The sequence below is a fragment of the Homo sapiens genome, chromosome 19 (genome assembly GCF_000001405.40).
Source record: "Homo sapiens chromosome 19, GRCh38.p14 Primary Assembly".
Lineage (NCBI taxonomy): Eukaryota > Metazoa > Chordata > Mammalia > Primates > Hominidae > Homo > Homo sapiens.
Window position 1 is genome coordinate 16,634,464 of NC_000019.10, and position 27,869 is coordinate 16,662,332.

Genomic DNA, 27,869 nt, shown 5'->3' on the forward strand with positions numbered 1-27,869 from the left:
TAGGAATCTCCCTCAAGAAAACTGAAAACATGGCTGCGTGCAGTGGCTCACACCTGTAATCCCAGCACTTTGAAAGGCTGAGGTAGGCGGGTCACTTGAGCTCAGGAGTTTGAGACCAGCGTAGCCAACATGGCAAAACCCTGTCTGTACTAAAAATACAAAAAATTAGGGAGGTGTGGTGGTGGATGCCTGGAGTCTCAGCTATTTGGGAGGCTGAGGTAGGAGAACCACTTGAATCCAGGAGGTGGAGGTTGCAGTAAGCCAAGATCGTGCCACTGCACTCCAGCCTGGGCAACAGACTGAGACTCTGTCTTAAAAAAAAAAAAAAAAAAAAAAAAAAGGCAAGAAAACTGAAAACATATACTCACAGAAAGACGTGCGTACATGTAAATGTCCATAGCAGCACTGCTCATAATAGCCATAACGTGCAGACAACCTGCCCCACCTGGGTTCCTAGCCAGCCTTCTTTCTCACCACTCTTGAGTGGGTCTTCTCATACCTGTCCCACTGGGCACCCAAGCATGCAACCAAGTGACGTGGTCTTCGTGCCTCAAAGGAGTGACCCAGCCAAAGTCATGTGGCTGGGATTTGGGGCTGGCTAAAGAGTCCAGCCCGTGGCCGGGCACAGTGGCTCATGCCTATAATCCTAGCACTCTGGGAGGCTGAGGCAGGTGGATCACTTGAGGCCAGGAGTTTGAGACCAGCCTGGCCAAGATGGCAAAACCCCATCCCTCCTAAAAAAAAAAAAAAAAAATTAGGCATGGTGGTACATGCCTGTAATCCCAGCTACTCAGGAGGCTGAGGCAGGAGAATCACGCGAACCTGGGAGGCGGAGGTTGCAGTGAGCTGACAAGACAGTACAGCACTCTAGCCTGGGTGACAGAGTGAGACACCATCTCAAAAAAAAAAAAAAAAAAGTCCAGCCCAGAGCTCAGGGTTCCCAGACTCTGAACCAAATCAAGTATAAGCCATTTCCCCAAAGAGCAGACAGGAGAGGACCAAGGTGCTGATGTCCAAAACCAACTAGGAGGGTGGATCTGAAGGAAAAAAACAACAAACTCACCCTAGCCAATGGAGCTTCCCAGAAACAAAGGTGCAGAGTTGTGCCCCAACACAGAAGGCAACATCAAGAGAGTAGCCAGGTGCAGTGGCTCACGCCAGTAATCTCAGCACTTTGAGAGGCCGAGGCGGGCGGATCACTTGAGGTCAGGAGTTTGAGACCAGCCTGGCCAACATGGTGAAATCCCATCTCTAAGAGAACGACAAAAAATTTAGCTGGGCCTGGTGGCAGGCGCCTGTAATCCCAGCTACTTGGGAAGCTGAGGCAGGAGAGTCGCTTAAACCTGGGAGGGAGAGGTTGCAATGGGCCCAGATTGTACCACTGCAATCCAGCCTGGGCAACAGAGCAAGACCCTGTCTCAAAAAAAAAAAAAAAAATATATATATATATATATATATATGTATGTATACACAATTTGACCCTGTGTTAGCAGAGTACTTGCCCCTACTCCCCTAAATGTCCCCATCCCAATCCCCAGAACCTGTAAATATGTCATGGCAAGGGATAATTAAGGGTACAGGTGAAATTAACATAACTCATCAACTGACTGCTGGATTCTCCTGGTGGCCCCAATGGAGTCACAAGCGTCCTTAAATGGGGAAGAAAGAGGTAGAGGAGTCAGAATTAGGAGACAGGGTGTCATGAGGAAGACTTGACAGGCTATTGGTTGCCTGGAAGATGGAGGAAGAGGCCGTGAACCAAGGATGTGGGCAGCCTCTAAAAGCTGGAGAAGGCGAGGAAAATTTCTCCCTGAGAGCCTCCAGAAGGAACCAGCTATGCGGACACATTGATGCTAGCCTACAGAGACCCATTCTGTACTTTTGACTTCCAGAATTGTAAAGAATAAATTTGTGGAATTTTTTTTTTTGAGAGTCTCACTCTGTCACCCAGGCTGGAGTACAGTGGTATGACCTCGACTCACTGCAACCTCTGCCTCCCGGGTTCAAGCGATTCTCCTGCCTCAGCTTCCCATGTAGCTGGAATTACAGGCATGCGCCACCACACCCAGCTAAGTTTTTGTATTTTTAGTAGAGACAAGGTCTCACCATGTTAGCCAGACTAAATTTGTTTTGTTTGACACCACGAAGTTTGTGGTTATTTTTTACAGTGGCAAGAGGACACGAATACGGCTTTAAAGAAAAAGCTAGCCAGGCACAATGGCCCATGCCTATAATCCTGGCACTTTGGGAGGCTGAGGTGGGAGGACTGCTTGAGCCTGGGAGTTCAAGACCAGCCTGGGCAACATAGTGAGACCCCATCTCTACAAAAAAAATAAAAAAATAGCTGGGTGTGGTAGCATGTGCCTGTAGTCCCAGCTACTCAGGAGGCTGATGTGGGAGGACAGCTTGAGCTCAGGAGGTTTAGGCTGCAGTGAGCTAAGATAGTGCCACTGCACTCCAGCTTCAGCTACAGAGCAAGACCCTGTCTCTAAAAATATAAAGAAAGAAAATTTAAAAGTAAAGAAAAAGTGGATCATTCGGTCCTTTAAGATGTGGCACTGCCCAATTAGAACTTTCCTCCATGCAATGCAATTACAGTCACTGAGGCACTGGATTTTCTAGTTTTATTTAACTAAGACGGAGACTGAAACAGCCACACGTGGCTCCTGGCTACTGTGCTGCTGAACACAGGCCCTCACTACTCAAAAGTGTGGTCCGTGGACCAGCAGTATTAGCATTACCAGGGAGCTCCTTAGGAACATAGGTCCTTGATCAGGTGTGGTGGCTCACACCTATAACCCCAGCACTTTGGGAGGCCAAGGCAGGAGGATCACTTGAGCCCAGGAGTTCAAGACCAGCCTGGGCAACATAGTGAAACCTCGTCTCTACAAAAAAATACATTAGCCAGCTGTGGTGGTATGTGCCTGTAGTCCCAGGAGGCTGAGGTGGGAGGATCGCTTGAGCCTGGGGGAGGTTGAGGCTACATTGAGCCATGATCGCCTCACCTGGGTGACAAAGTGAGACTGTGTCTCAAAAAAGAAAAAGAAAAGAAATGTAGGCCCTTAGCCTGTACCTCCCCAGCCTGTTAGGCAGAATCTGAATTCCACAAAAACACCCCCAAGGGATTTAGGAGGATGTTGAAATCTGAGACCCTCCCATGGTTGAGGCCACCAGTCACTTACACACAAATGCCTTCCTCTGCAGCACCAGGAGACAGAGCCCATCACAGAACTTCTCAGGGTGCCTCCTACACCACACTAGCTTTGTGTGTTTGTTCTTTAATGCCTCAAGGCATACTACTAGCCAAGGAGAGTAACTAACAGCAGCTGTTGAACACTATGGGTCAGACTTTGACCATCTGTTATGGACTGAATTGTGTCACCTACCCATGACTAAATTCATATGCTGAAGCTCTGACCTCCAACAGGGACTGTATTTGGAGACAGGGCCTTTGGGAGGTAATTAAGGTTAAATAAGGTCATAAGGGTGGGGTGATAAGCTGACAAAAGGGAGGCTGGTTGTGGTGGCTCACGCCTGTAATCCCAGCACTTTGGGAGGCAGAGGTGGGTGGATCACTTGAGGTTAGCAGTTCAAAACCAACCTGGCCAACGTGGTGAAACCCCACCTCTACTAAAAAAAAAAAAATTACAAAAATTAGCCAGGCGTGGTGGTACGCACCTGTAATCTCAGCTACTCAGGAGGCTGAGGCAGGAAGAATCACTTAAAGCCGGAGGCGGAGGTTGCAGTAAGCTGGGATCACGCCACTGCACTCCAGCCTGGATGACAGAGATTCTGTCTCAAAAGAACCGTGAGGCAATTAAACCTCTTTTCTTTTTTCTTTTTTTTTTTTTTTTTTTGAGACAGAGCTTCACTCTTGCTGCACAGGCTGGAGTGCAATGGCACGATCTCGGCTCACTGCAACCCCTGCCTCCCGGGTTCAGGTGATTTTCCTGCCTCAGACTCCTGAGTAGCTGGATTTACAGGTGCCCGCCACCATGCCCGGCTAATTTTTGTAATTTTTTTTAGTAGAGACAGGGTTTCACCACATTGGCCAGGCTGGCCTTGAACTCCTGACCTCAGGTGATCCACCCACCTCAGCCTCCCTAAGTGTTGGGATTACAGGCATGAGCCACCGTGCCTGGCCATTAACCTCTTTTCTTATAAATTACCCATTTCTTTATAGCAATGCAAGATGGCCTAATACACAGCTCTAGCTGACTAATATACCACCATCTCACTGAAGGCTTGCAAAACCCAGCTGAGAAAGTCTTTTAATAAAAGCAACAACATTAATAAAAACAGTGACAACTACTGAGTGGCTGCCCAGCATCAGGCATGTTATAGGCCCATATCAAGACTGTCTCCTTCACTGTACCCATATCACAGATGAGGACGTGGAGGTGCAGAAGGGCCAAGACACAGAACCCAGGTCTGAGCTACACCTCCAACTTGCTTTCTGCTGCAACCACCTTTTCCACCTTCTTTCTCATGCACACAATGTACTCTAATTAGATGTAAAGCTTTATTTCCCCTAACATTTCCACAGTTCCCTTGGCACAGTCCACACTCTTTTGCCTAGGTTTACCACCAACTGCCAAGATAATAATGTAAACTAGACACCAATGAACAGGAAACAGGATCCACTAGTAAGATGTCATTTTTTTTTTTTTTTTTTTGAGACGGAGTCTTGCTCTGTCGCCCAGGCTGGAGTGCAGTGGCGTGATCTCGGCTCACTGCAAGCTCCGCCCCCCCAGGTTCACGCCATTCTCCTGCCTCAGCCTCCCGAGTAGCTGGGATTATAGGCGCCCACCACCTCGCCCGGCTAATTTTTTGTATTTTTAGTAGAGACGGGGTTTCACCGTGTTAGCCAGGATGGTCTCGATCTCCTGACCTCATGATCTGCCCGCCTCCGCCTCCCAAAGTGCTGGGATTACAGGCGTGAGCCACTGCGCCCGGTCATAAGATGTCATTTTTAAAAAACTGTCTAGTCCAGAGATCAGTAAACTTTTCCATAAAGGGTCAGAAAGTAAATAGGTTCAGCTTTGCAGGCTGAATGGTTTCTGTTGCAAGGACTCAATCCTGCCCTTATAGTGCTAAAGGAGCCAAGGATGATATACAAACTAATGAGCACAACAGCTGATATAATTTGCCTGTGTCCCCACCCAAATCTCATCTTGAGTTGTAGTTCCCATAATCCCCATGTGTGGTGGCAGAGACCTGGGGGCAGGTAACTGAATCATGGGGTGGTTCCCCCATGCTATTCTAGTGATAGTAAGTTCTCACGAGATCTGATGTTTTTATAAGGGGCATCCACTTCACTCAGCTCTCATTCTTCTCCTACCTGCCACCATGGGTAGAAGGATATGTTTGTTTCCCCATCCGCCATGACTGTAAGTTTCCTGGGGTCTCCCCAGCCGTGCATAACTGTGAGTCAATTAAACCTCTTTTGTTTATAAATTACCCAGTCTCAGGCAATCTTTCGGTTTTTTGTTTTTTTTTTTTTGAGATGGAGTTTTGCTCTTGTTGCCCAGGCTGGAGTGCAATGGCTCAATCTCAGCTCAATGCAACCTCCACTTTCCGGGTTCAAGCGATTCTCCTGCCTCAGCCTCCTGAGTATCTGGGATTACAGGCACCCGTCACCACGCCCAGCTAATTTTTGTGTTTTTTAGCAGCAGCACGATCTCTGCTCACTGCAACCTCTGCCTCCCAGGTTCAAGCGATTCTCCTGTCAGCCTTCCAAGTAGCTGGGATTACAGGTACGTGCCACCACGCCTGGCTAATTTTTGTATTTTTAGTAGAGATGGGGTTTCACCATGTTGGCCAGGCTGGTCTCGAACTTCTGGGATTACAGGCATGAGCCTCCCTGCCCGGCCCTTTTTATCCTTCTTTTTCTTTTTATAGCATGCCTTTTCCTTTTACACAAACAGCATCCGTCTTTCATCAACATAGGAAAACATCAGGAGGCCTGTCAAATATTTCATAAACTCAAATTTGGTAAAGGATATAATGAAATGGTTGAAATGAAAAGAAAATGCCTTGCTAATGACAGCTTCGCTGGCTTTTCAAATCTAACCACTTCAGAAGAGAGCAGATCTCATTATCCAACATCGCACTGCTGCTGTTCTGCTGTTCTGAGGAGTCTCAGGGAGCCTGAGAGGGGTCTTTCGTCTAACTATCAAGAGAAAGAGGCCAGTTGCAGCAGCTCACGCCTGTAATCCCAAAACTTCAGGAGGCTGAGGTGGGCGGATCACCTGAGGTCAGGAGTTCGAGACCAGCCTGGCCAACATGGAGAAACCCCATCTCTACTAAAAATACCAACATTATCCAGGCGTGGTGGTGGGTGCCTGTAGTCCCAGCTACTTGGGAGGCTGAGGCAAGAAAATCGCTTGAACCCGGGAGGCGGAGGCTGCAGTGAGCTGAGATTGCGCCACTGCACTCCAGCCTGGGTGACAGAGTCTCAAAAAAAGAAAGAAAGAAAGAAAGAAAACTGGGTTTTGGTCAATTGATTAACCACACTTGAAAATGGGAGGGAAGATTTCTAGCAAATTTAAAAAATGTGTTTGTGTATATGTTTGTTAAAATGCAGGCCACAAGGGTACAGATGATTCCCTGAGTGGCTTTGGGAGGGAAGGGACACCTTGGGATTCTCCATCACACCCTAGTTGAGCGGTTGGCAAATTTTTCTGGTAAGAGGCCAAACAGGTGACATTTTCCATTCTGCAGGCCATATGGTCTCTGTGCCACTACTCCACTTTGAAGTTATAGTATGGAGGTTGCTAAAGCAATTCTAAGTAATACACACACAAAGGGGTGTGGCCAGATTCTAATACAACTTTTTTTTTTTTTTTTTTTGAGATGGAGTTTCACTCTTGTGGCCCAGGCTGGAGTGCAATGGTGCAATCTCGGTTCATCACAACCTCTGCTTCCCAGGTTCAAGTGATTCTCCTGCCTCAGCCTCCCTAGTAACTGGGATTACAGGCCTGTACCACCACACTCGGCTAATTTTGCATTTTTAGTAGAGACAGCATTTCTCCATGTTGGCCAGGCTGGTCTCGAACTCCCAACCTCAGGTGATCCGCCCACCTTGGCCTCCCAAAGTGCTAGGATTACAGGCGTGAGCCACTGTGCCCGGTCCCAGTACAACTTTTTCTTTTGGAGACAGTCTAGCTCTGTCGTCCAGGCTGGAGTGCAGTGGAAAAATCTCGGCTCACTGCAACCTCCACCTCCTGGGTTCAAGCAATTCTCCTGCCTCAGCCTCCTGAGTAGCTTGGACTATAAGCGTGCAGCACGACACCCGGCTAGTTTTTGTATTTTTAGTAGAGAAAGGATTTTGCCACAGCGGTCAGGCTAATAAGGGATCGCCTGGCTCAGCTTCCCAAAGTGTGGGGATTACAGTTGTGAGCCACCGCACCCGGCTCCAATAAAACTTTATTTACAAAAACAAGCCGTGGGCCAGACATGCCCTCTGGGCTGTAGTTTGCTGACTCCTGCCCTAGAGCAGATGTACATGAAGGGCAATGAGAAGCGCGTGCAAAAATACATTCTCCTTCAATGTGCAATGGTGGAGGAAGCAAAATGGGTTCCAACATGAACCCCAAGTGAACACTCCCAGGGTAGGTGCTGTACATTGTGGCCTTCTCTGCATTCACCACCCACAGCTTATCACTTCGGCAGTGACTCCCAGCCTGTAGCCTTGTTTTCTAATACACAAAATCTGAACACAAACCAAGTGCCCATCAACTGGGGACTGGTTAAATTAATCATGGTATGTCTTTACAATGGCGTATTTGCAGTTATTAAGAATCATATTGTGATTGAGCACGGTGGCTCATGCCTGTAATCCCAGCACTTTGGGAAGCCAAGGTGGGTGGGTCACTTGAGGGCAGAAGTTTGAGACCAGCCTGGCCAACATGGTGAAACCCTGTCTCCAGTAAAAATACAAAAATTAGCTGGGCAGGCACCTGTAATCCCAGCTATTCAGGAGGCTGAGGCATGAGAATTGCTTGAACCTGGGAGGTGGAGGTTGCAGTGAACCAAGATCACACCACCGCACTCCAGCCTGGGCGAGAGTGAGACTGTCTCAAACAAACAAAAAAGAATGATATTGTGGTTCATGCCTGTAATCCCAGAAATACTGGAGGCCAAGGTGGGAGGTTCGTTGAGCCCAGGAGTTTGAGAGCAGTTTGAGCAACACAGGGAGACCCTGTCTCTCCCAAAAAATAAAAATAAAAAAATAATTAGCCTGTGGTACATGCCTGTGGTCCTAGGTACTTGGGAGACTGAGGTGGGAGGATCGTGGCTACAGTGAGCTCTCATCACGCCACCACACTCCAGCCTTGGCAACAGAGTGAGACCTTATCTTTTTTTTTTTTTTTTTTGAGACAGAGTCTCACTCTGTCACCCAGGCTGCAGTGCAGCGGCGCGATCATGGCTCACTGCGACCTCCACCTCCCAAGTTCAAGAGATTCTCCTGCGTCAGCCTCCTGAGTAGCTGGGATTACAGGCGTGCGCCACCACACCTGGCTAATTTTTGTATTTTTAGTAGAGACGGGGTTTCATCGAACTCCTGACCTCGTGATCCACCCGCCTCGGCCTCCCAAAGTGCTGGGATTACAGGCGTGAACCACCGCACCTGGCCAAGTGAGACTCTGTCTCTAAAAAAAGAAAAAAAAAGTTATTTTAGAAAACAACACATTTGAGGATATGGAAGTATGGTTACAGTATCAGGTGAGAAAACCATGCTGGAAGATACTAAGATAACACTGCCAAAAGAAAATGTAAGCACCACACCTAGATGATTATGCACAGAAGAAAGGTTGGAAGAATATGTACCTAGGGTGATGGTCTCCGGAGAATGTGACTATGGGTGATTTATTTTTCCTCTTCTAGCAAGTATGCATTTGATAAGTTTCTTCAATGAATATGCATTAGTAGTTTAAAAAAAATTTTTCTTTTTTGAGACAGGGGTCTCACTGTGTCACTCAGGCTGAAGTGCACCACTCGGCTCACTGTAACCTCCGCCTCCCGAGTTCAAGTGATTCCTCTACCTCAGTCTCCTGAGTAGCTGGGACTACAGGCATGTGCCACTATGCCCAGCTAATATATGTATGTTTAGTAGAGATAGGGTTTCACCATATTGGCCAGGCTGGTATTGAACTCCTGGCCTCAAGTGATCTACCCACCTCAGCCTCCTAAAGTGCTGGGATTACAGGCATGAGCCACCGTACCAGGCCTAAAAAATTTTTTCAAGCAAAGTAAAACAAACAAAAGCCACTTAAAGCCACACCAATGGTATTTAAGGATATTATGGACCCCTCCATGGTTATCTGCCCAAGGAAGCTAATGCCACAATAGAAGCCAATGAAGATCACAACACTGGTGCCAGGGGCAGCCCTGATCACAGTGGACAAAATATAATCCAAGTCCAGCAACAAGGTGGCTAAGGACCTATTTACTGACACTGCACCGTAAGTAAAAATGAGAACTGTAACACCTCCTAGCAACAAAGCAAGTGTAAAGAAAATGATGCTGAAATGAACACAGCAGAACTCATCCTTCCTTATCCACTCTCAAAACATACATACAGGAATATGGAAAATGCTGCATGGGGATGGTGAAGACAGGAAAAGGTTTACCAGGCTGGAAATTGTTTGCGTTTTTTTTTTTTTTTTTTTTTTTTGAGATGTTTTGCTCGTCGCCTAGGCTGGAGTGCAATGGCGCGATCTCGGCTCGCTGCAACCTCCGCCTCCCTGGTTCAAGTGATTATCCTGCCTCAGCCTCCTGAGTAGCTGGGATTACAGGCGCACGCCACCACACCTGGCTAATTTTTGTATTTTTTAGTAGAGACGGGGTTTTGTCATGTTGGCCAGGTTGGTCTCGAACTCCTGACCACAGGTGACCTGCCCACTTTGGCCTCCCAAAATGCTGGGATTGCAGGGTGTGAGCCTCTCACTGCACTCAGTCTGTTTGTAACTTTTTTTTTTTTTTCCGAGACAGAAGATCTTGCTCTGTCACCCAGGCTGGAGTGCACTGGCACGATCTCAGCTCACTGCAACCTCCACCTCCTGGGTTTTTAAGCAATTCTCTGCCTCAGCCTCCTGAGTAGCTGGGATTACAGGGGGCATGCCACCACACCCAGCTAATTTTTGCATTTTTAGTAGAGACGGGGTTTCACCATCTTGGCCAGGCTGTTCTTGAACTCCTGACCTCGTGATCCACCTGCCTCGGCCTCCCAAAGTGCTGGGAGCCACCGCGCTGGCCTCTGTTTGCAATTCGTAAAAATGCTGTCATCAGCCTTTAATGGTGTGTGTGCAGACTGCACAAAGAAAAGTGGATGAGAAGACAGAAAACACACACGGTGATGATACCCACAGCAACAGGTGCTCTCAGGCACTCAGCCGCATTCGAGTTCATTGAAACTTACAACAACCTTAGGCACACACTACTTGCAGGCCGATTTTAGAGATGTGGAAACTGAGGCTTGGAGAGGAGAAAGCAATTAGCCAAGGTCCCTCTCAGAATGAGCTGAGATGGGATTTGTACTCACACCTAACTGACCCAGAACATTAGTGCTTAAACACTGTGAGACACTAGGCACCCAAACTTCAAACTCTGATAACCTCTGGTGCCAGTAAAGTTCTTGAAAAGCTTCCTTAAGAGACACAACCATGAGATTCCATTTTTAAAATGTACAGCAGCCACCAACCAGCATCTGAAAAAGCCACGCTGCTATTATTAACAATGAGACAACAGTTCTCTGGAGAAAAAGAGGACTATTGAAACAAAACCTCAATGACAGGATTCTCTTCTGAGAGCACGATTCATCCCCATAATGGACAAATGCCTCGCCTCATTGAGACCTCCGCGCCAGTCTGAATAAGGCAGGAAGGTTTCTTCACACCATTCATCTGGCCTGTGAGGGACCCAGCCAAGATCTTGGCGTGCCTGTTCTGACAGCGACACCGGCCTCAGCAAAGCCAGACCCAGCAGCTCCGATCTCTGCTACTTACAGACCTTGGGGTGATGCTTGGCTGAGATTTGGCAAGGAAATGAATTGCAGAAGTGATCAAGGAGAATTCCACAACCTGAGAGGCAGCAAAAGTGGACTTGACCCTGGTCTAGCAAGAGCCCACCATTAGCAATGACTCTTTCAATACTTTCAGGAGCAGCTCCAGTCAAAATTCCACTTACTCAATTCTTTTTTTTTTTTTTTTTTTGAGACAGAATCTCATTGTCTCACCCAGGCTGAAGTGCAGTGGCTCAATCTCAGCTCACTGCAACCTCCGCCTCCCAGATTTAAGCAATTCTTGTGCCTCAGCCACCCGAGTAGCTGGGATTATAGGCGTGTGCCACCATATCTGGCTAATTTTTCTATTTTTAGTAGAGATGCGATTTCACCATGTTGGCCAGGCTAGTTTCGAACTCCTGACCTCAAGTGATCCGCCTACCTCGGCCTCCCAAAGTGCTGGGATTACAGGTATGAGCCACTGCGCGCAGCCCCACTTGCCCAATTCTTGACCATCATTTATTGAGCTAAATCCAAAAAGGAAACTCTACCACTGACTCTTTTCTTTCTCATGGCCTCCAAAATGAATCCTAGGTTTTTCCAGCAGGGTAAATTCAAAAGGACTCAGGTTGGAAATTGACTTCTTGGTTAAAAAAAAAAAAAAAGTATAAACAAAAGGTCCTTTTTAGAAATGAGGTTTATTTTCAAGGCTACTCAGTCCTAAAAGCCTGCATATTTACTTTTTTTCCTTCCTCCAGGTTTACCTCCAAGTCAGGATTTCAAAAACCACCAACATTCAGGCTCATTCTTATTGGTATAAACAAACAAACAAAAAAACCAGACAACAAAAAACTCAACAAGCAAATCACACAGTTGTGGGATTCAGCGCCAACCCCGGGCGTTTCATTTTGGCAACAAAACCAGGATTCCCTTTCAAAGAAGCTTCTGGAAAATGCTGTATTTCCTAGATGAAGGCCCCTGGTTTTTCAACCTCAAAATCACCTACTCAAAAAGCAGACTCAGAAACCCAAGGTTTTAGAACATGGTCCCAATGTACCACATCATAAAATCACTCTCATTCCTGCAACTGTACAATGAATGGCTCCCAAAGTCATTTTATTTAACAAAGGGGTCAAGGCAGAGGAAAGTTTCCCTTAATATCCCCACAACTGCTCCACATGTCTTCTGTGGAAACACTTCACCAGGAACTAGCTCAACACTCTTGCTAACAATTTAGTGTCTATACAGGAAGGCTGGTGTCTCTGTTACAGGTGGCCCGTTCCTTAAAGCCTTTAGGGTTAATCGCAGCTGCACTGAGTGGCCAAGCAGACCCTGTTGGGATGTGAAAGCAGTTTGTTAACAGGGCCCCTGGCCGGGCCCAGAGGCTGTCAGACTCAGCAAGTAACACTGAATGTCCAAAAATACGGCTGTGTTAAACTAACAAGCCAATCCTTCTGCTCAGATCTCTGGATAGAAATGATTTTTCTTTTATCTATGGGGAATGCAATTTCATCACAGCCCCTTACATAAACGCTCCTGAAACCCTTTCAGTAGACAGCATTTCAATTCAGAGACCAAAGTGAAACTATCTTTGAAAACAGGGACGTGGCTGGGAAACCATGCACACCTCGGCGAACACTTTTCCACCCACCACGAGCTTGGACTTTCTGGGAAGGTTGTCGGTTTTCTGGTCAAAAACATTCTTGAAGTCATCAGGAATGGAGGAATGGAGACTCGGCATCCCGGGAAAGTGAGTTCCTGGTTTCATCGCTGGGATTCAAGAGCCGAACAGCCTGGAGAAGTCAGAGGGCAGAAATGTCTGTGAGGATAGGAGGTGACTGTTCTAAAAATATTGTCAGCGATTATTTTACATGACTATTACCTATTACTTAGATGATTTTACATGATTGTCTGATTTTTTAAAGTAACCTGTGATCCACCTGTGAATATAATTAACAATACTGAACTACACAGTTAAAAGAAGAATATACTCTTTTTTTTTTTTTAGACAGAGTCTGGCTCTGCCGCCCAGGCTGGAGTACAGTGGTGCGATCTCAGCTCGCTGCAACCTCTGCATCCGAGATTCAAGCGATTCTCCTGCCTCAACCTGCTGAGTAGCTGCAATTACAGGCGCCTGCCACCAAGCCAGATTAATTTTTGTATTTTTAGTAGAAATGGGGTTTCACCATGTTGGCTGGGCTGGTTTCGAACTCCTGACCTCAAGTGATCCACCCGCCTCAGCCTCCCAAAGTGCTGGGATTACAGGCGTGAGCCACTCCGCACAGCCAACACCACCACCCTATAAGGGAAAGCGGTACAGCTGTTAAACAAAAGATATATACAGGAACTTTCGGTATTATCTTTGCAACATTTCCACAAATCTAAACTCATTCCAAAATAAAAAGGTTATCTGAAAAAAATAAGAGTGCAGAAACAGCTGGATTTCCACATGCAAAAGAATAAAGTTGGACCCCTGCTTTATGTCATATAAAAAAATTCACTCAAAATAGGTCACAGACCTAACTATCCTCCAGAATCCAAACTACAAAACTCTTGGAAGAAAACTTACGTGTACATCTTTGTAACCTTGGGTTACACAATGATTTCTTACTATAATACCCAAAGCACAAGTGACAAAAAGACAAAAACATAAACTCAACTTCATCACAGTTAAAAACTTTTTTTTTTTTGAGATGGACTCTCACTCTGTTGCTCAGGGTGGAGTGCCGTGGGGCGATCTCGGCTCACTACAACCTCTGACTCCTGGGTTCAAGCGATTCTCATGCCTCAGCCTCCCGAGTAGCTGGGATTACAGGCACCCGCCACCATGCCTGGCTAATTTTTGTACTTCTAGTAGAGACGGTGTTTCACCATGTTGGTCAGGCCGGTCTCAAACTCCTGACCTCAAGTGATCCAACCGCCTCAGCCTCCCAAAGTGCTGGGTTTACAGGCATGAGCCACCATGCCTGGCCATTCACAATAAAAAACTTTTGTGCTTAAAATGACACCATCAAGAAAGTGAAAAGACAACATACAAAATGGGAGAAAATGCTTGCAAAATACGCACGTGATAATGGACTGATAACGAGAATACACAAAGAACCCTTATGGATCAGCAATAACCCAATTTTTAAAAAGGGCAGAGAATCTTAAGAAGACATTTCCTCAAAGGAGGTGGACAAATGGCCAATAGGTACATGAAAATATGTTCAATATCATTAACCATCAGGGAAATGTGAATCAAAACCTTCGAACTGGCTGTGCACAGTGGCTCATGCCTGTAATCCCAGCACTTTAGGAGGCTGAGGTGGGTGGATCACTTGAGCCCAGGAGTTCTGGACCAGCCTGGGCAACATAGCGAAACCCAGTACTTCTTGTAGAGACAAGAAGTACAAAAATTAGCCAGGTGTGGTAGTGCACACCCATAGTCCCACTACTTAGGACGCTGAGGCCAGAGGATCACTTGAGCCCAGGAGGCAAAAGTTGCAGTGAGCTGAGATTGTGCCACTGTACTCCAGCTCCAGCCTGCGCAACAGAGTGAGACTCTGTTTCAAAAACAAACAAAAAACTTTCATACCTACTAGGATGACCACAGTCAAAAGATTAACGGTAACAGAGTTGGCAAGGATACGGAGAAAGTGTAACCCTCGTAGGCTGCAGGTAGGAATGTAAAATGTCGTAGCTACTTTGGAAAACACTCTGGTGTTTTCTCAAAAGGATAAACACAGGTCGGCTTTAATCTCAGCACTTTGGGAGGTTGAGGTGGGTGGATCACTTGAGGTCTGGAGTTCGAGACCAGCCTGGCCAACGTGGTAAAACCCTGTTTCAGCCAGGCGCAGTGGTTCACGCCTATAATCCCAGCACTTTGGGAGGCCGATGTGGGTGGATCATGAGGTCAGGAATTCAAGACCAGCTTGGACAACATGGTGAAACCCCGTCTCTACTAAAAATACAAAAAATTAGGCATGGTGGTGCACACCTGTAACCCCAGTTACTCAGGAGGCTGAGGCAGGAGAATCACTTGAACCCGGGAGGTGGAGGTTGCAGTGAGCTGAGAACGTGCCACTGCACTCCAGCCTTGGCAACAGAGCGAGACTCTGTCTCCAAAAAAAAGAAAATTATAAACGTAGTGTGATCATATAACCCAGCAATTTCACTCCTATATAGCTCATAACTAAAAACATAAATCTGTACAAAAACTTGTACATGAATGTTCTTGTCACCACTTTCATAATAGCTAAAAAATACAAACATTTCAACTGTCCACCAACTGACAGATGGAAAACTGGGGAATAGTCATACAAGAGAATGATTCTGCCATGAAAAGGAATGAAGCACTGCTCCAGGCTACAACGTGGATGAACCTCAAAAACATGATGCTGAGTGAGAGGAGCTAGACACAAAAGGCCATGCAGTGTATGACTCCATTTATATAAACTGTCCACATGAGGCAAATCCACAGAGACAGGAAGCCGACGAGTGGTTGCCAGGGACTAAGGGAGGGGAAATGGGGCGTGACTGCCAATGGGGACGCGGTTTCTTTCTGTGTTGATGAAAATGTTCTGAAATTGGATAGAGATAGCGGCTGCATAATCCTGTGAATATTCTATAAAATACCGGATTGTGAAGACAGACTTCCGCCTTTTACTTGTAAAACCTCTCCATGGTTCATTTTCTCCCTAACTTTTCCTCTTGTTATTTTATGAAAATTTCAACACACAGAAGAGTTGTGTTGAAACACACTGCCACCACCTACATTCTGCAATTAACACTTTGCTGTACCACATACCTATCCATCTATCTAACCATTTATCCGTATTTTTGATGTGTTTCAATGTAAGTTATAGATGACAGTGCTACTGATCCCTAAATACTCAGGGACGTTTCTCCCCTATTTCAGACTTTTCATAACTTCTTAAACTTTCCAAAGCTCAAACAACACAAGAGTGGGCACAGGGAGATTGGGCACGGTGGCTCACGCCTATAATCCCAGCACTTTGGGAGGCCGAGGCAGGTGAATCATTTGAGGTCAGGAGTTCGAGACCAGCCTGGTCAACAGGATGAAATCTCATCTCTACCAAAAATAGAAAAATTAGCCAAGTGTGGTGGTGCGTGCCTGTAGTCTCAGCTCCTTGGGAGGCTGAGGCAGGAGAATCACTTGAACCTGGGAGATGCAGGATGCAGTGAGCTGAGACTGTGCCACTGCACTCCAGTCTGGGTGACAGAGCAAGACTCCACCTCAAAAAAAAAAAAAAAAAGAAGAAATAGGCACACGGAATATTGAACCATGCCCAGGCTCTGCCAATTTCCTCAGCAACTGCCACAGGGTCACCTCTCTACCCCATCTGGAGTGGATCCTTCCAACTCCCTGGCTAAACAGTGTTTCACTCCCATACTTAAGGCACTCATTTAAGGTTTATCCATGGTTACTGCATGCACATTACACAGCTGAAGTTAGGCTGCACAGACATAGTACCCTCCGGCCTTCTTCACTTTCAGAACGTTTCATTTCCCCATGCAGACAGAACCTTCTGGCACATCATCAGTGATGGTATTGTGACAGCCAGTCACATGGGCATCCTTCAAGTTACCTGATCCTTCCCCTGTTCTTGGACACTTAGGTGATTTCCAGTTTTTAAATATCCTGGGAAAGCCAGTCACTACCTCCCTGAGAGGGCCCTTTCTTGAGAGAATCTTCTCTCACCCATGGCCCCCAGTGAAAGAGTTGGCCTGGGTCAGAGGTTGGCACATTTTCTCTGTAATGGGTGACTGTTTACTAACAGTTCTGGCTCTGCAAGCCATGTCATCTCTGTCACACAACTCAACTCCACCGCTGTGACACAGAAGCAGCCACACACATGAACTTTTGCGAAGTTCATTCACAAAAACAGGCAGTGGGGAGATTTGGCCTGTGGTCTGATGACCCTTGACCTAAGTGGTTATGGCAGAATCAAGAACCCCCACCCCAAATGGACCAGAGTGACACCAAGGTGGGTCAATCAGACTCTGCCCCAGGAAACAAAATCAGGACCCTGGGCTACTGACTATGCAGGTCTTGGAAAGTTGAGCTGGGAGGATGCCCGAGGCTGCTGTTCTGGTCACAGACTAGCAGATGAGGGAGTGAAGATGCTGGTCAAACAGGAGAGGATGATGAAGCAGGTGCACAGGAAAGACGAGAATGAGAGAAGCACACTGACTTCTTCCCTGCCCCAGGACCTTTGCAAAGATGAGAATGAGAACCATGCTGACTTCTTCCCTGCCCCAGGACCTTTGCAAAGACGAGAATGAGAGAAGCATGCTGACTTCTTCCCTGCCCCAGGACCTTTGCAAAGATGAGAATGAGAAGCATGCTGACTTCTTCCCTGCCCCAGGACCTTTGCAAAGATGAGAATGAGAAGCATGCTGACTTCTTCCCTGCCCCAGGACCTTTGCAAAGACGAGAATGAGAGAAGCATAGAAGCATAGTGACTTCTTCCCTGCCCCAGGACCTTTGCAAAGACGAGAATGAGGGAAGCATGCTGACTTCTTCCCTTCCCCAGGACCTTTGCAAAGACGAGAATGAGGGAAGCATGCTGATTTCTTCCCTGTCCCAGGACCTTTGCAAAGACGAGAATGAGGGAAGAATGCTGACTTCTTCCCTGCCCCAGGACCTTTGCACATGCCACTTCCTGTGCCACCATGCTTTTCTCCAGCTCTGCAAATGGCAAACGTCTTCTTGTCCTTTAGGTCTTGATTTATTATTATTTGTTTGGAGACAGGGTCTTCTTCTGTTGCCCAGGCTGGAGTGCAGTGGCAGGATCTCAGCTCACTGCAACCTCTGCCTCCAGGGCTCAAGTGATTCTCCCACCTCAGCCTCCCGAGGAGCTGGAACTATAGGCAGGCGCCACTACACTCGGCTAATTTTTTTATTTTTGGTAAAGACAGGGTTTCACCATGCTGCCCAGGCTGGTCTTGAACTCCTGGGCTCAAGCAATTCTCCCACCTTGGCCTCCCAAAGTACTGGGATTACAGGCCTGAGCCACTGCCCCTGGCCGTTCCTACAATTTCATGTAAGTTCCTTGATCTCCTCACAAGCCTTCTTTGTTCCTAGGCAAGTCTCATACATGCTCTCAGATCCTCTCTGCCAGGTAGGATACCTTGGCAACAGTCTTCCTGGGAATACATCACGGTCCTTGTGATGAGGGTGAAATGCCATCCTCCCCAGATCTCCTATGTCCTGGAAGCATCTTCGCAAACAGCCACTGGGGTGGCACGCAGACTGGACAGCAACCCCACATTCGGAGTCTCAATCACTCAGGACAGACAACTTTTTGTCCTCTCTCTTTCTGGGGGAAGCATACAGGGATGGACCCACAGAGGCCAAGAACACCAGATTCTCCCGTCGTGTCTTTTCCTAAATCCATTTACAGCAAATCTCACAATTCGTTAACAGTAGTATCAGAGTTATGGCCCCAGTGCTAGATGGAAAGGCAATCTGCTTGAGTTTTCTCAGCCTAATGAGAAAATGAAAAGCCAGAATTTAAAACAATAAAGTCTGAATACATTTCTACTGGCTTCCAGCCCAGGTGGAGCAGGATCTGGCAGTGTGCTGGACATTTAAACCATATTTTCCACCTCGGCAGATGCAGAAGAACTGGTGAGACGTGACAGGGCCATGGGCTCAGGGACGGCATCTCCTGGCAGCCCCTGCAGAGGTGCCGGGCATAGCCGGGGGCTGGAGAACTCCATGTTCCAATAAAAGTTCCAGCCCGGTTTGGTGGGGACACAGGGACAGAGTTTAACCCCTTCAGATACTGGTTCCCTCACTTACTTATTTTGAAAACAGAAAGCAGGGCCGGGTGTGGTAGCTCACATCTGTAATCTCAGCACTTTGGGAGGCCGAGGCAGGTGGATCACATGAGGTCAGGAGTTCAAGACCAGCCTGACCAACATGATGAAACCCTGTCTCTTGTAAAAATACAAAAATTAGCCAGGTGTGGTGGTGGGCACCTGTAATCCCAGCTACTCGGGAGGCTGAGGCAGGAGAATCGCTTGAAGCAGGGAGGCAGAGGTTGCAGTGAGCCGAGATCACGCCACTGCACTCCAGCCTGGGCAACAGAGCAAGACTCGATCTCAAAAACAAAAACAAACAAACAAAAAAAACAGGGCCGTGCACAGTGGCTCACTCCTGTAATCCCAGCACTTTGGGAGCCCAAGGTGGACGAATCACAAGGTCAGGAGATCAAGACCATCCTGGATAACACGATGGAACCCCGTCTCTACTAAAAATACAAAAAATCAGCCGTGTGTGGTGGCACGCACCTGTAGTCCCAGTTACTCGGGAGGCTGAGGCAGGAGAATCGCTTAGACCTAAGAGGCCGAGGTTGCAGTGAGCCCAGATCGCACCACTGCACTCCAGTTTAGGCGACAGAGCAAGATTCCATCTCAAACAAAACAAAAAATAAAGAAAACAGAAACCAGGATACAAGAGTGATGACTGAAAAGACAGAGAATGACCATCAGGTGGGTCACCCTGGAGAAGGAGACTAAGAGACGACAGTGAAAGGAAAGGGCAGGCTGGACTCACACAATCATGCAGAACATCATGAAGATGTTCCACAGGGCGATGAAGATTCGAAAGTATCTGAGGCTCAGCAAGAATTCCCGGATGTTGTCACCTGGAAGAATCAGAAAGCACTTTTATGGCACAGCTAACATCCCATCCCTACTGCCACCTCAGCAGTGGATTTTTGTGACTTCCACCCACCCGGCGCTTGCTGCCTCCAACTTCGGCAACAGTGTGGCTTTTCCTTTTGGTTTCTCCCTCTTCCCTACCCTCATCAGGCTGTGTCTACCACTGACCAATCCCCTGAAAGCACCAAGCCCCTCTGCCTCTGATTGGCTCAAGAAGGGGCATGTGACCCAAGTCTGTCCAATGAGAGTCCACCCTGGGACTTTTCCCCCAACTACTGGGAAAGAGATACCTTCTGCCAGGCTTACTGAGCTGGGAAGATGTAAGCTCAGTAAGCTCAGTGCCCACAGGCCAAATCCAGCAGCCTCTTCCACCTGTTTTTGGATGGCCTATGAGCTAATAGTTTTTACTTTTTTTTAAAATATAAAGATGGGGTTTTGCTATGTTCCCCAGGTGGGTCTTGAACTCCTGGCTTCAAGTGATCCTCCCGCCTAAGCCTCTCAAAGTGTTGAGATTACAGGCATGAGTCTCCATACCCGGCTGGTTTTTACATTAAAAAAAAAAGAAAGAAGACTATTTTGTGAGACACAAAAATTACAAGAAATTCAAATCTCAGTGTCAATGAATAAAGTTTTATGGCACACAGCCATACCCATTCATTTACATATCATGTCCTGCTGCTTTTGTACTACAACAGCAGAGCTGAGTCACATTGTTGTGCCAGACAGACACCATATGGCCCGCAAAGCCCTCAGATATTTACTATGTGGCCCTCTACAGAAAAACATGCCAACCCCTGCTCTGGGGTCATCTTTGCCAACCCTAACCAGTCTCACAGTAAAACCAACATAAAAGAAAGGGGAATTGAGAGCTGCAGAGAGTCAGATACTGACTCTAACCCTAACCCTAACCCCAACTCCAACCCCAACCCTAATCTTGAAGGACTGGTTTGACACCTAAACCCAGGGTGCCTGAAAACAATTCTGTTGGATGTTTCAATTTGCTTTAACCACTTTGAGCTGGGTTTGCAGTGTTTGTAACTGAAAGCATCCTAATTCAGGCAAGTGAAAGGGAAGGTGTTTCTTGGTGATGACTTACTCTGGTCCCCTTGAATGCCAAGGAACAGAAACCCCTCCGAGGGAAGGCAATTTAGTACGTGAAGACTCCAGAGACCTGGGTTCTAGACCCTTCTTCCAGGGTTTCCAGTCAATCACTCTCCCTCTCAAGCCCTCCAGAATGAAAAGAATGGGTCCAGATTAGGCCAGGCATGGTGGCTCACACTTGTAATCCCAGCACTTCAGGAGGCCGAGGCAGGCAGATTACCTGAGGTCGGGAGTTCGAGACCAGCCTGGCCAACATGGTGAAACCACGTCTCTACTAAAAATACAAAAGTTAGCCGGGTGTGGTGGTGCATGACTGTAATCCCAGCTACTCAGGAGGCTGAGGCAGGAGAATCACTTGAACCTGGGAGGCAGAGATTGCAGTGAGCTGAGATGGTGTCACTGCACTCCAGCCTGGGTGACACAGCAAGACTCCATCTCAAAAAAAAAAAAAAAAAAAAAAAAAGAATGGCTCCAGATTAGGTGATCTACAAGGGTGCTACCCGAAGTATCTGCAGACTGGGGCTGCATGGTAAGTACAGCATACACAACACAAGCCCAGAAATTTCTACTTTTTCAGGGATGACAACCTGACATCCCTGCTCCATCCGAGCTTGTGCTGAACACACCATCTTGCTGAAAACGGTTTAGACGAGCCTAGTATTATCTAGCCGACAGGATTAGTCACGTGCAGCACAACCTGTATACAGGGCTGATCCAGCACAGACTAGAAACATTAAATGCTTGGTCTGTTTCCAGGAAGTTTTGAGAGGCGCTGCTCAGCAAGACCCTTCCCCTAGCGAAGGATCGTGAAAACAGGACCTCCCACCATCAACAGATGCCAATCAAACGTTACTCATTCCAGGCCGGGTGCAGTGGCTCACAACTGTAATCCCAGCACTTTGGGAGGCCGAGGCAGGTGGATCACCTGAGGTCGCGAGTTTGAGATCAGCCTGGCTAACATCGTGAAACCACGTTTCTATTAAAACTACAAAACAATTAGCAGGGCGTGGTGGCGCGTGCCTGTAATCCCAAATCCTCGGGAGGCTGAGGCACGAAAATCACTTGAACCCAGGAGGTGGAGGCTGCAGTGAGCTGAGATCACGCCACTGCACGCCTGGGCAACAGAGTGAGACTCTGTCTCAAAAAATAAAAAAAGGTTACTCATTCCAGGCAACAGCAGTATACAGGGGATACAGAAAGAAACAAAGACCGGTGGCTCTGCCCCAACAAGCATATGGGGAGGAGAAATACTAAACAAATATTCACATGTGACTGCTCTGGTGGGAAAGTTTGGGTGTCCTGGGAATACACACTGCAGAGACCCAACATGGCATGTGCATGGGGAAGGGTGGGAGGTAAAAAAAAAGCCTTTCCAGCCGGGTGCCGTCGCTCAAGTCTGTAATCCCAGCACTTTGGGAGGCCAAGGAGGGCAGATCACCTGATGTCAGGAGTTCGAGACCAGCCTGGCCAACATGGCGAAACCCCATCTCTACTAAAAATACAAAAATTAGCTGGGCATGGTGGTGGGTGCCTGTAATCCCAGCTAATAGGGAAGCTGAGGCAGGAGAATTGCTTGAACCCAGGAAGCGGAGATTGCAGGGAGCTGAGATGGTGCCACTGCACTCCAGCCTGGGCAACAGAGAGAGGCTCCATCTCAAAAAAAAAAACAACAAAAAAACAAAAAACAGGCTTTCTGAGGAAGTGCCAGAGCTCCAAGTTCTGACCTCAAACATGGGCAGTTTAACAAATGTGAGCTCAAATCCTGCCTCTGTCCTTCTGCACAGGTGACCTGGTGACCTGGGACCATCCCTGCACTATCTATGTGCATTCCCTCTTGTGTCAATAGGGGTGTCAGGCAGCTAGGAAGACCTTAGCACACTGCCTGGCACGCATGACGCTCTCAACAAATGCAGCCACTATGGTATTACAGTTAAGCCAGGCAAAGAGGATGGAGGGCAAAGAGCAGCTCCCACAGGGGAAGCAGCAGGTGCAGCACCTGGGCTGGAAGGAGACTGGACACAGCAAAGCAGGAAGCTCCTGACAGAGCACTGGTGCCCTGCCTGGCATCCCTGTCACTGATGCTCCTGCCACTTTGTGCCAAATCTCCCGCCCACTGGAGCTCTGATTCGGATCTGTACAGTGCAACTCTAGGGCCTGGTAGTGCCTTCCACGTGGGGGTTAAGTAACACATGGCTGCTGAGTCAATGTATGAATGGATGGATCAATGGATAGACGGACAGATGGTCTAGTGATTGAGTGCACAACCGCTAGAGTCAGAAAAACCCAGGTTCTAATCCTGATTCTCATTGATTCCCTATGTGGCCACAAAAAAGTTGAGCCACATCTCTGACCCTCAGTTTCCTGATCTGTAAAATGGGAAAGTGACCATTATCTTTTAAGAATGGAGGGAGAATGCAACACTAACAGGAAGCACCTAACTGGGTCAGCACCCAAGGGCAGGCCCCCAAAAAGGGGAGCTGCTGGAGTGTCTTCAAAATCTCAGCTCGGCCAGGCGTGGTAGCTCATGCCTGTGATCCCAGCACTTTGGGAGGCTGAGGTGGGAGGATCGTTTGAGACCAAGAGTTGGACACCAGCCTGGTTAACACAGCGAGATACCTATCTCTACAAAAAACATTTAGAAAATTAGCCAGGCGTGGTAGTAAGTGCCTGTAGTCCCAGCTACTTGGGAGCCTGAGGCAAGAGGATCTCTTGAACCCAGGAGCTCAAGGCTGCAGTGAGCTATGACTGTGCCGCTGCACTCCAGCCTGGGCAACAGAGCAAGACCCTGTCTCTAAAAGAAGAAAACCTCTGTTCCTCAGGGTTCCCCCATCCTTGGGCAGTGCTCCATCATGGCATCCACCGCCTTGACTGTGACGCCGCCTCCTCAAATGGCCTTCCCTTCCACACCCCAGCAGGAGGGCAACCCCATCACCATCCTGTGACTCCCTGCCTCTGTCACCTAACGTCACCTCTGTCACTATCTATTCCCTGCTTAGAAACCATGTGTCCCACCCCATGGTAAGTTCCACTCTATCTGTCTTACCCCTGCTGTACCCCAGCACCTAGCACAGTAGCCAGCATGCGTTAGGTACTCAAATATCTGGTGAATGAAAGAATTAATGAATGGATACAATAGTCATGTACAGATCCCCTTAAGACTCCAAATAGTTACACAATCAAATTCAGCAGGAAGTGTAAATTCTGGGGCCTCCAGGGCCCAGGCAGATGATAGACATATGAAGGGGTTAGGGCTGGGATGAGGCAGAGTCTACAGGCCCCACCTCCTCAGAGTCCTTCTCAACTACACTCAATAGATGCAAACAGCTCTCCTGAATCTTGAGTTGCAGAATGTTCCAATTTTTCAAGAAAAATCAGACATCTTAATTTTTATATAAAATCTCCTGATTAAAAATCTAATGTTGGCATCTAATTTTAAAAGTGGCAGGTCTGCAGCACTCTGAAAGCAACAGCTATGTGTGAGGTTGTTCATTCATTCATTCACAGGCATCGGAGGACGGGTACGGCAAGAACAAAGGATGGGACAAGCCAAGCTAGGGCCTCTTCTCTGAAGTTTACAGTCATATGTGAGGGGCAGACATTAGCCAGATGACAGCAAACATAACAGAACATTATAACGGTAGGAAGTGATGTGAGTGCTCACATCAGGGAGGTCTGGTAGGAGAAAGAAATAGATGACAGAGGTAGGCAGAAAGGCTAGCACATTCTCAGTCATCTCCCACTCACACACACGCTCAATTAAAGAGAAAACTTGTGGCTCACGCCTGTAATCCCAGCTCTTCGGGAGGCCAAGGCAGGGATCACTTGAACCCAGGAGTTCGAGACCGGCCTGGGCAACGTGGAGAAACCCCATCTCTACAAAAAATACAAAATTTAGCCTGGCATGGTGGCACACACCTGTAATCCCAGCTACTAAGGGGGCTGAGGTGGAAGGATCACTTTAGCTCAGGAGGTCGAGTCTGCAGTGAGCCATGATCGCACCACTGCACTCCAACCTGGACAACAGAGCAAGACCTTGTGTCAAAAAAAAAAAAAAAAAAAAAAGAGAAAGAAAGAAAACGAAGGTAGGGCTTGGCGAAACAGAACTGTCCTCTGAAGTGGACCATGCAATTCCAGGATCCAATTAGACCTTACCTGTGCTGGGCTCCCTGGACTCCTCCCCAAAGCCCTGCGTGTCCTTCTTTTTCCTACAAAGAGGAGCAGACAGTGTCCACTTTCAATGGGACATAGAGTCCTCAGCCCCCTGACCCCCAGCTCAGAAGGCCACAAACACTAAGTTTCAGCCCTGGCCCTGCCGCAAACTTGCTGTGTGACCTCTGACGTTCAATACCCTTCTCTGGGCCCCCACTGCCCGGACAATCACAGCCAGGTCAGCAGCCACCGACCGTTTACAAAGTGGCCCGACAGTGCGGGTGCAGGGCGGAAGGTCCGCGGTGGGGCTATTTCTTGGGGGATGGGGCTTAAGCTCTCCAGGAAGGTGAACAGAGGGACAACCAAGGAACGGAGAGTATGGGTTTAAGGTCTCTCGGGGGGTGGGGGGCGAGGAAGATAAACCAGGCTGGAGGCGTGCCCAGAGGGCGGATAGGGCGGGGCCTGCGGCTTGGGGGCGGGGCCTGAGAAGTGCGCCGAGATCACGCTTATGAGGGCGGGGCTACGGGTTCCCCGGATGGAGCCGCAGTCCGGCCGCGACCTACTCACAGCTTAAAGTTCAGCACCGCCCCGGCATTCATCAGCAACGTCCTGCAGAGGGAGAATTACAGTTACTAGGGGCGCCCCCGCGTCCTGCCTGGCTCTCTCTTCCCAGCCTCTGGTCCCCCTAATTACCCGAACAGCAGGATGTCTCCGATCATCGTTACGGCCGAAGCGTCCGTCAGAACCGGAAGCGGAAGCCCCAGGGAGGGAGGGGAGAGGAGCACAAGCCGACCAATCCTAAAGCAACAGTGGCGAGGGCTGGGCCAATCGAAGGTCAAGGCTGGGAGGGTCCCGCCCTCTGCAGGCCAGACCCCCTTAGGGGAGCGCGAGCGCCCCACCTCGCTGGGGAGGCCCCGAGAGCCAGAATGGGAGGAGCGGGGTCTCCTGGGGGCGGGATTGGGTCACGCGTTCGAAGCGTGCCGCGCATGCGTGAGGTCTCGATGCCGTAGGGTTAGCTGGGCAGCAATTCCTACTCACTTTCTGGGGTCCCAAATTGGGCTTCTGGACAAAAGGAATCCTTTGACTCCTGAGCTGCACAGGGTGCGGGGTCCTGACGCAGTGGGGTCCCTAGAAACGGGTGCCCCAACCAACTGGGCTCTAAAATGAGATCCTCCTGGGCCCCATGGGGAACGGGGGTTCCCACTGAGCTGCCCCCCACAAGACGTCCTGATTTGCAGAGCCCCACCGGAGACGGGGTTCCTGATCGAACGGACCCTATGGGGCAGAAAAGTCTTGACGGGGCTCCACAGAGGACCGAGGTCCTAACCTATCTCCACGGGGAACAGGGGTTCTGATTCATGGGGTCCCACCATGGCGTAGGGGTCCTCACTGGGCTCCACCGAAGATCGGGGTCCTAATTGAGCCCACGGGGACAAAGTCCTGGCCGATCCGGCCCCCTGGGAACGGGCGTCCCGCGTGGGTGGGCTCCGTGAGGGACGGGCCCCCAGAACAGGCAGCTCCCCAGCCTCCCTCGCCTTGCACGGGTGCCCCGCACCCCGCCTCGCTGGGCGGAACGGGGTAGCGATGGCAGGAGGGTCAACGCCTGGGACGCCCGACCGTCCAGCTGCGTCCGTGGTGCTGGGCGTCCCCACCACCTGTCCCGGGGTGGGCCGTCGCCCCTCCTCTCCCGCGGGGGCCGGGCCTGGGGTGGCGCCTGGCGGGCGGGGGCGGGCCCAGCTGCGGGGGCGCAGTCGCCGGGCCGCGGGCGGCGGGACGGACGAGGCCGGGGCCCCGGGTGGCACCCGGCAGGCGGGCAGGCGGGCGCCATGGAGCTGCTCTCGGCGCTGAGCCTGGGCGAACTGGCGCTCAGCTTCTCGCGGGTGCCGCTCTTCCCCGTCTTCGACCTCAGTTACTTCATCGTCTCCATCCTCTACCTCAAGTATGAGCCAGGTGAGCCGGGGCGGGGGGCTGGAGGGGACCGGCAGCGGGTGGCGCGGGCCGGGGCAGCTCGGGGGTCGCAGAGAGGGGAAGCCCGTGCGTGGTGGAGGGAGCGAGGGACAGGTTCAAGGATTGCATCGTGGGAGTAGGCAGGCGCTAGAATCGTGGGGTTCTCTCACGCCGGGGTGAGCCCGGGGGAGAAGCCCCCAGGACGATGAAGCTGGGGGAGGGGAAGGAGAGGCGTGCGCGGGTTTAGAGGAGGGGGAACAGGTGCTTGGGGTCGGGGCTCCTGGTTGGGTCAGAGCTGCAGGAACTTGGGCAAGGGGCGCCGGCTGTGGCGAGGGTGCAGGTGGGGGTCGGTGCATCTGTTCTGGCCGCGCGCAGGTGTGACCTCCCTCCTTGACCTTGGCACGCGGATTGAGAGCGCCAGCGGAGTGTCTATAAGGGCCACTGCGCTGGGGGCTGCGGTCAGGTTCAGCGAAAGTGACACCGGTTCTCCTCCCCACTGCAACTGCCCAGCACCCTCCACTCCCCTCCCTTCCCCCACGGTGCTGAATCTCCGAGCCCCCACGGGAATTCTTCCAGCCCTGGCTCCAGATCCTTTCCACTTACGGAGCAGAACCGGCCCCAAGGCTGGGTGACTTGGGGTCAGTGTCCTCCATCTCAGCTCCAGACTCCACGCTGGGGAGGTCACAGGAGGGTACAGCCTGCTTCTTAATTTTTAAAATGAGGATGAATGGCTTCCTTAGAACGTGTTCTATTTTTATAAAAGGTTCACCGTGAACAAATGTTTAAATGTTTCTTGTTCACCGTTATTCTAGAACACCAGCAACTTACTAGATAATAGATTTTAGGCTTAGAAAAATAAAGGAACCCCAAACTTCATAAGCCTTTCTCCCACTTAGATGTAAATTACCACTATAGCTCAGAAAGGAAATAGCTTTATTCTCAGAGGATAAAAATAAGCGCCCCTGTTTACTAAAAACTCAAACTGAAAAGGGCA

The 27,869-nt window shown here is 49.1% G+C and overlaps 2 protein-coding genes and 1 long non-coding RNA gene across 9 annotated transcripts in view, besides 4 other annotated features; 1 reads left to right on the top strand and 2 right to left on the bottom strand.

The window, feature by feature from the left end:
* SMIM7 (small integral membrane protein 7) overlaps positions 1–25,681 on the bottom strand; it is a 29,394-nt gene extending 3,713 nt beyond the window's left edge. The window contains exons 1-7 of one of the 7 annotated variants that reach the window (XM_047439414.1): positions 25,622–25,681; positions 25,496–25,537; positions 24,932–24,984; positions 19,572–19,662; positions 18,142–18,498; positions 12,657–12,798; positions 11,685–12,337 (exon numbers count right to left, since the gene is read on the bottom strand). In XM_047439414.1, the coding sequence (XP_047295370.1) occupies positions 18,399–18,498; positions 19,572–19,662; positions 24,932–24,984; positions 25,496–25,537; positions 25,622–25,647 (312 nt within the window). In that variant the 5' untranslated portion in view covers positions 25,648–25,681 and the 3' untranslated portion in view covers positions 11,685–12,337; positions 12,657–12,798; positions 18,142–18,398. Of the gene's footprint in view, positions 1–11,684; positions 12,799–17,892; positions 18,499–19,571; positions 19,663–24,931; positions 24,985–25,495; positions 25,538–25,621 lie in introns of those variants that run through there. The other 6 variants (XM_047439417.1, XM_047439415.1, XM_047439418.1 and 3 more) reach the window with 6 other exon arrangements.
* Positions 3,591–4,090: an enhancer, noted in NCBI's record as "H3K4me1 hESC enhancer chr19:16748865-16749364 (GRCh37/hg19 assembly coordinates)". NCBI's record gives its function as "activates a minimal SCP1, AML or CMV promoter by ChIP-STARR-seq in naive H9 embryonic stem cells {active_cell/tissue: H9 hESC(naive)}" and the evidence as "EXISTENCE:reporter gene assay evidence [ECO:0000049][PMID:30033119]".
* LOC124904647 (uncharacterized) lies at positions 15,416–17,809 on the bottom strand. The gene is made up of 2 exons (XR_007067149.1): positions 17,432–17,809; positions 15,416–17,379 (listed from the first exon to the last, which is right to left on the bottom strand). It is a non-coding gene; the product is annotated as an uncharacterized LOC124904647 (long non-coding RNA).
* Positions 26,274–26,473: a silencer, noted in NCBI's record as "silent region_10313". NCBI's record gives its function as "represses an Ori minimal core promoter by ATAC-STARR-seq in GM12878 lymphoblastoid cells {active_cell/tissue: GM12878}" and the evidence as "EXISTENCE:reporter gene assay evidence [ECO:0000049][PMID:35858748]".
* Positions 26,494–26,743: a silencer, noted in NCBI's record as "silent region_10314". NCBI's record gives its function as "represses an Ori minimal core promoter by ATAC-STARR-seq in GM12878 lymphoblastoid cells {active_cell/tissue: GM12878}" and the evidence as "EXISTENCE:reporter gene assay evidence [ECO:0000049][PMID:35858748]".
* The window catches only part of TMEM38A (transmembrane protein 38A), a 28,885-nt gene continuing 27,691 nt past the window's right edge, over positions 26,676–27,869 (top strand). Inside the window, exon 1 of the mRNA NM_024074.4 lies at positions 26,676–26,878. Within this exon, the coding sequence (NP_076979.1) occupies positions 26,755–26,878 (124 nt within the window). The 5' untranslated portion in view covers positions 26,676–26,754. The remainder of the gene's footprint in view (positions 26,879–27,869) is intronic.
* Positions 27,029–27,837: an enhancer, noted in NCBI's record as "H3K4me1 hESC enhancer chr19:16772303-16773111 (GRCh37/hg19 assembly coordinates)". NCBI's record gives its function as "activates a minimal SCP1, AML or CMV promoter by ChIP-STARR-seq in naive H9 embryonic stem cells {active_cell/tissue: H9 hESC(naive)}" and the evidence as "EXISTENCE:reporter gene assay evidence [ECO:0000049][PMID:30033119]".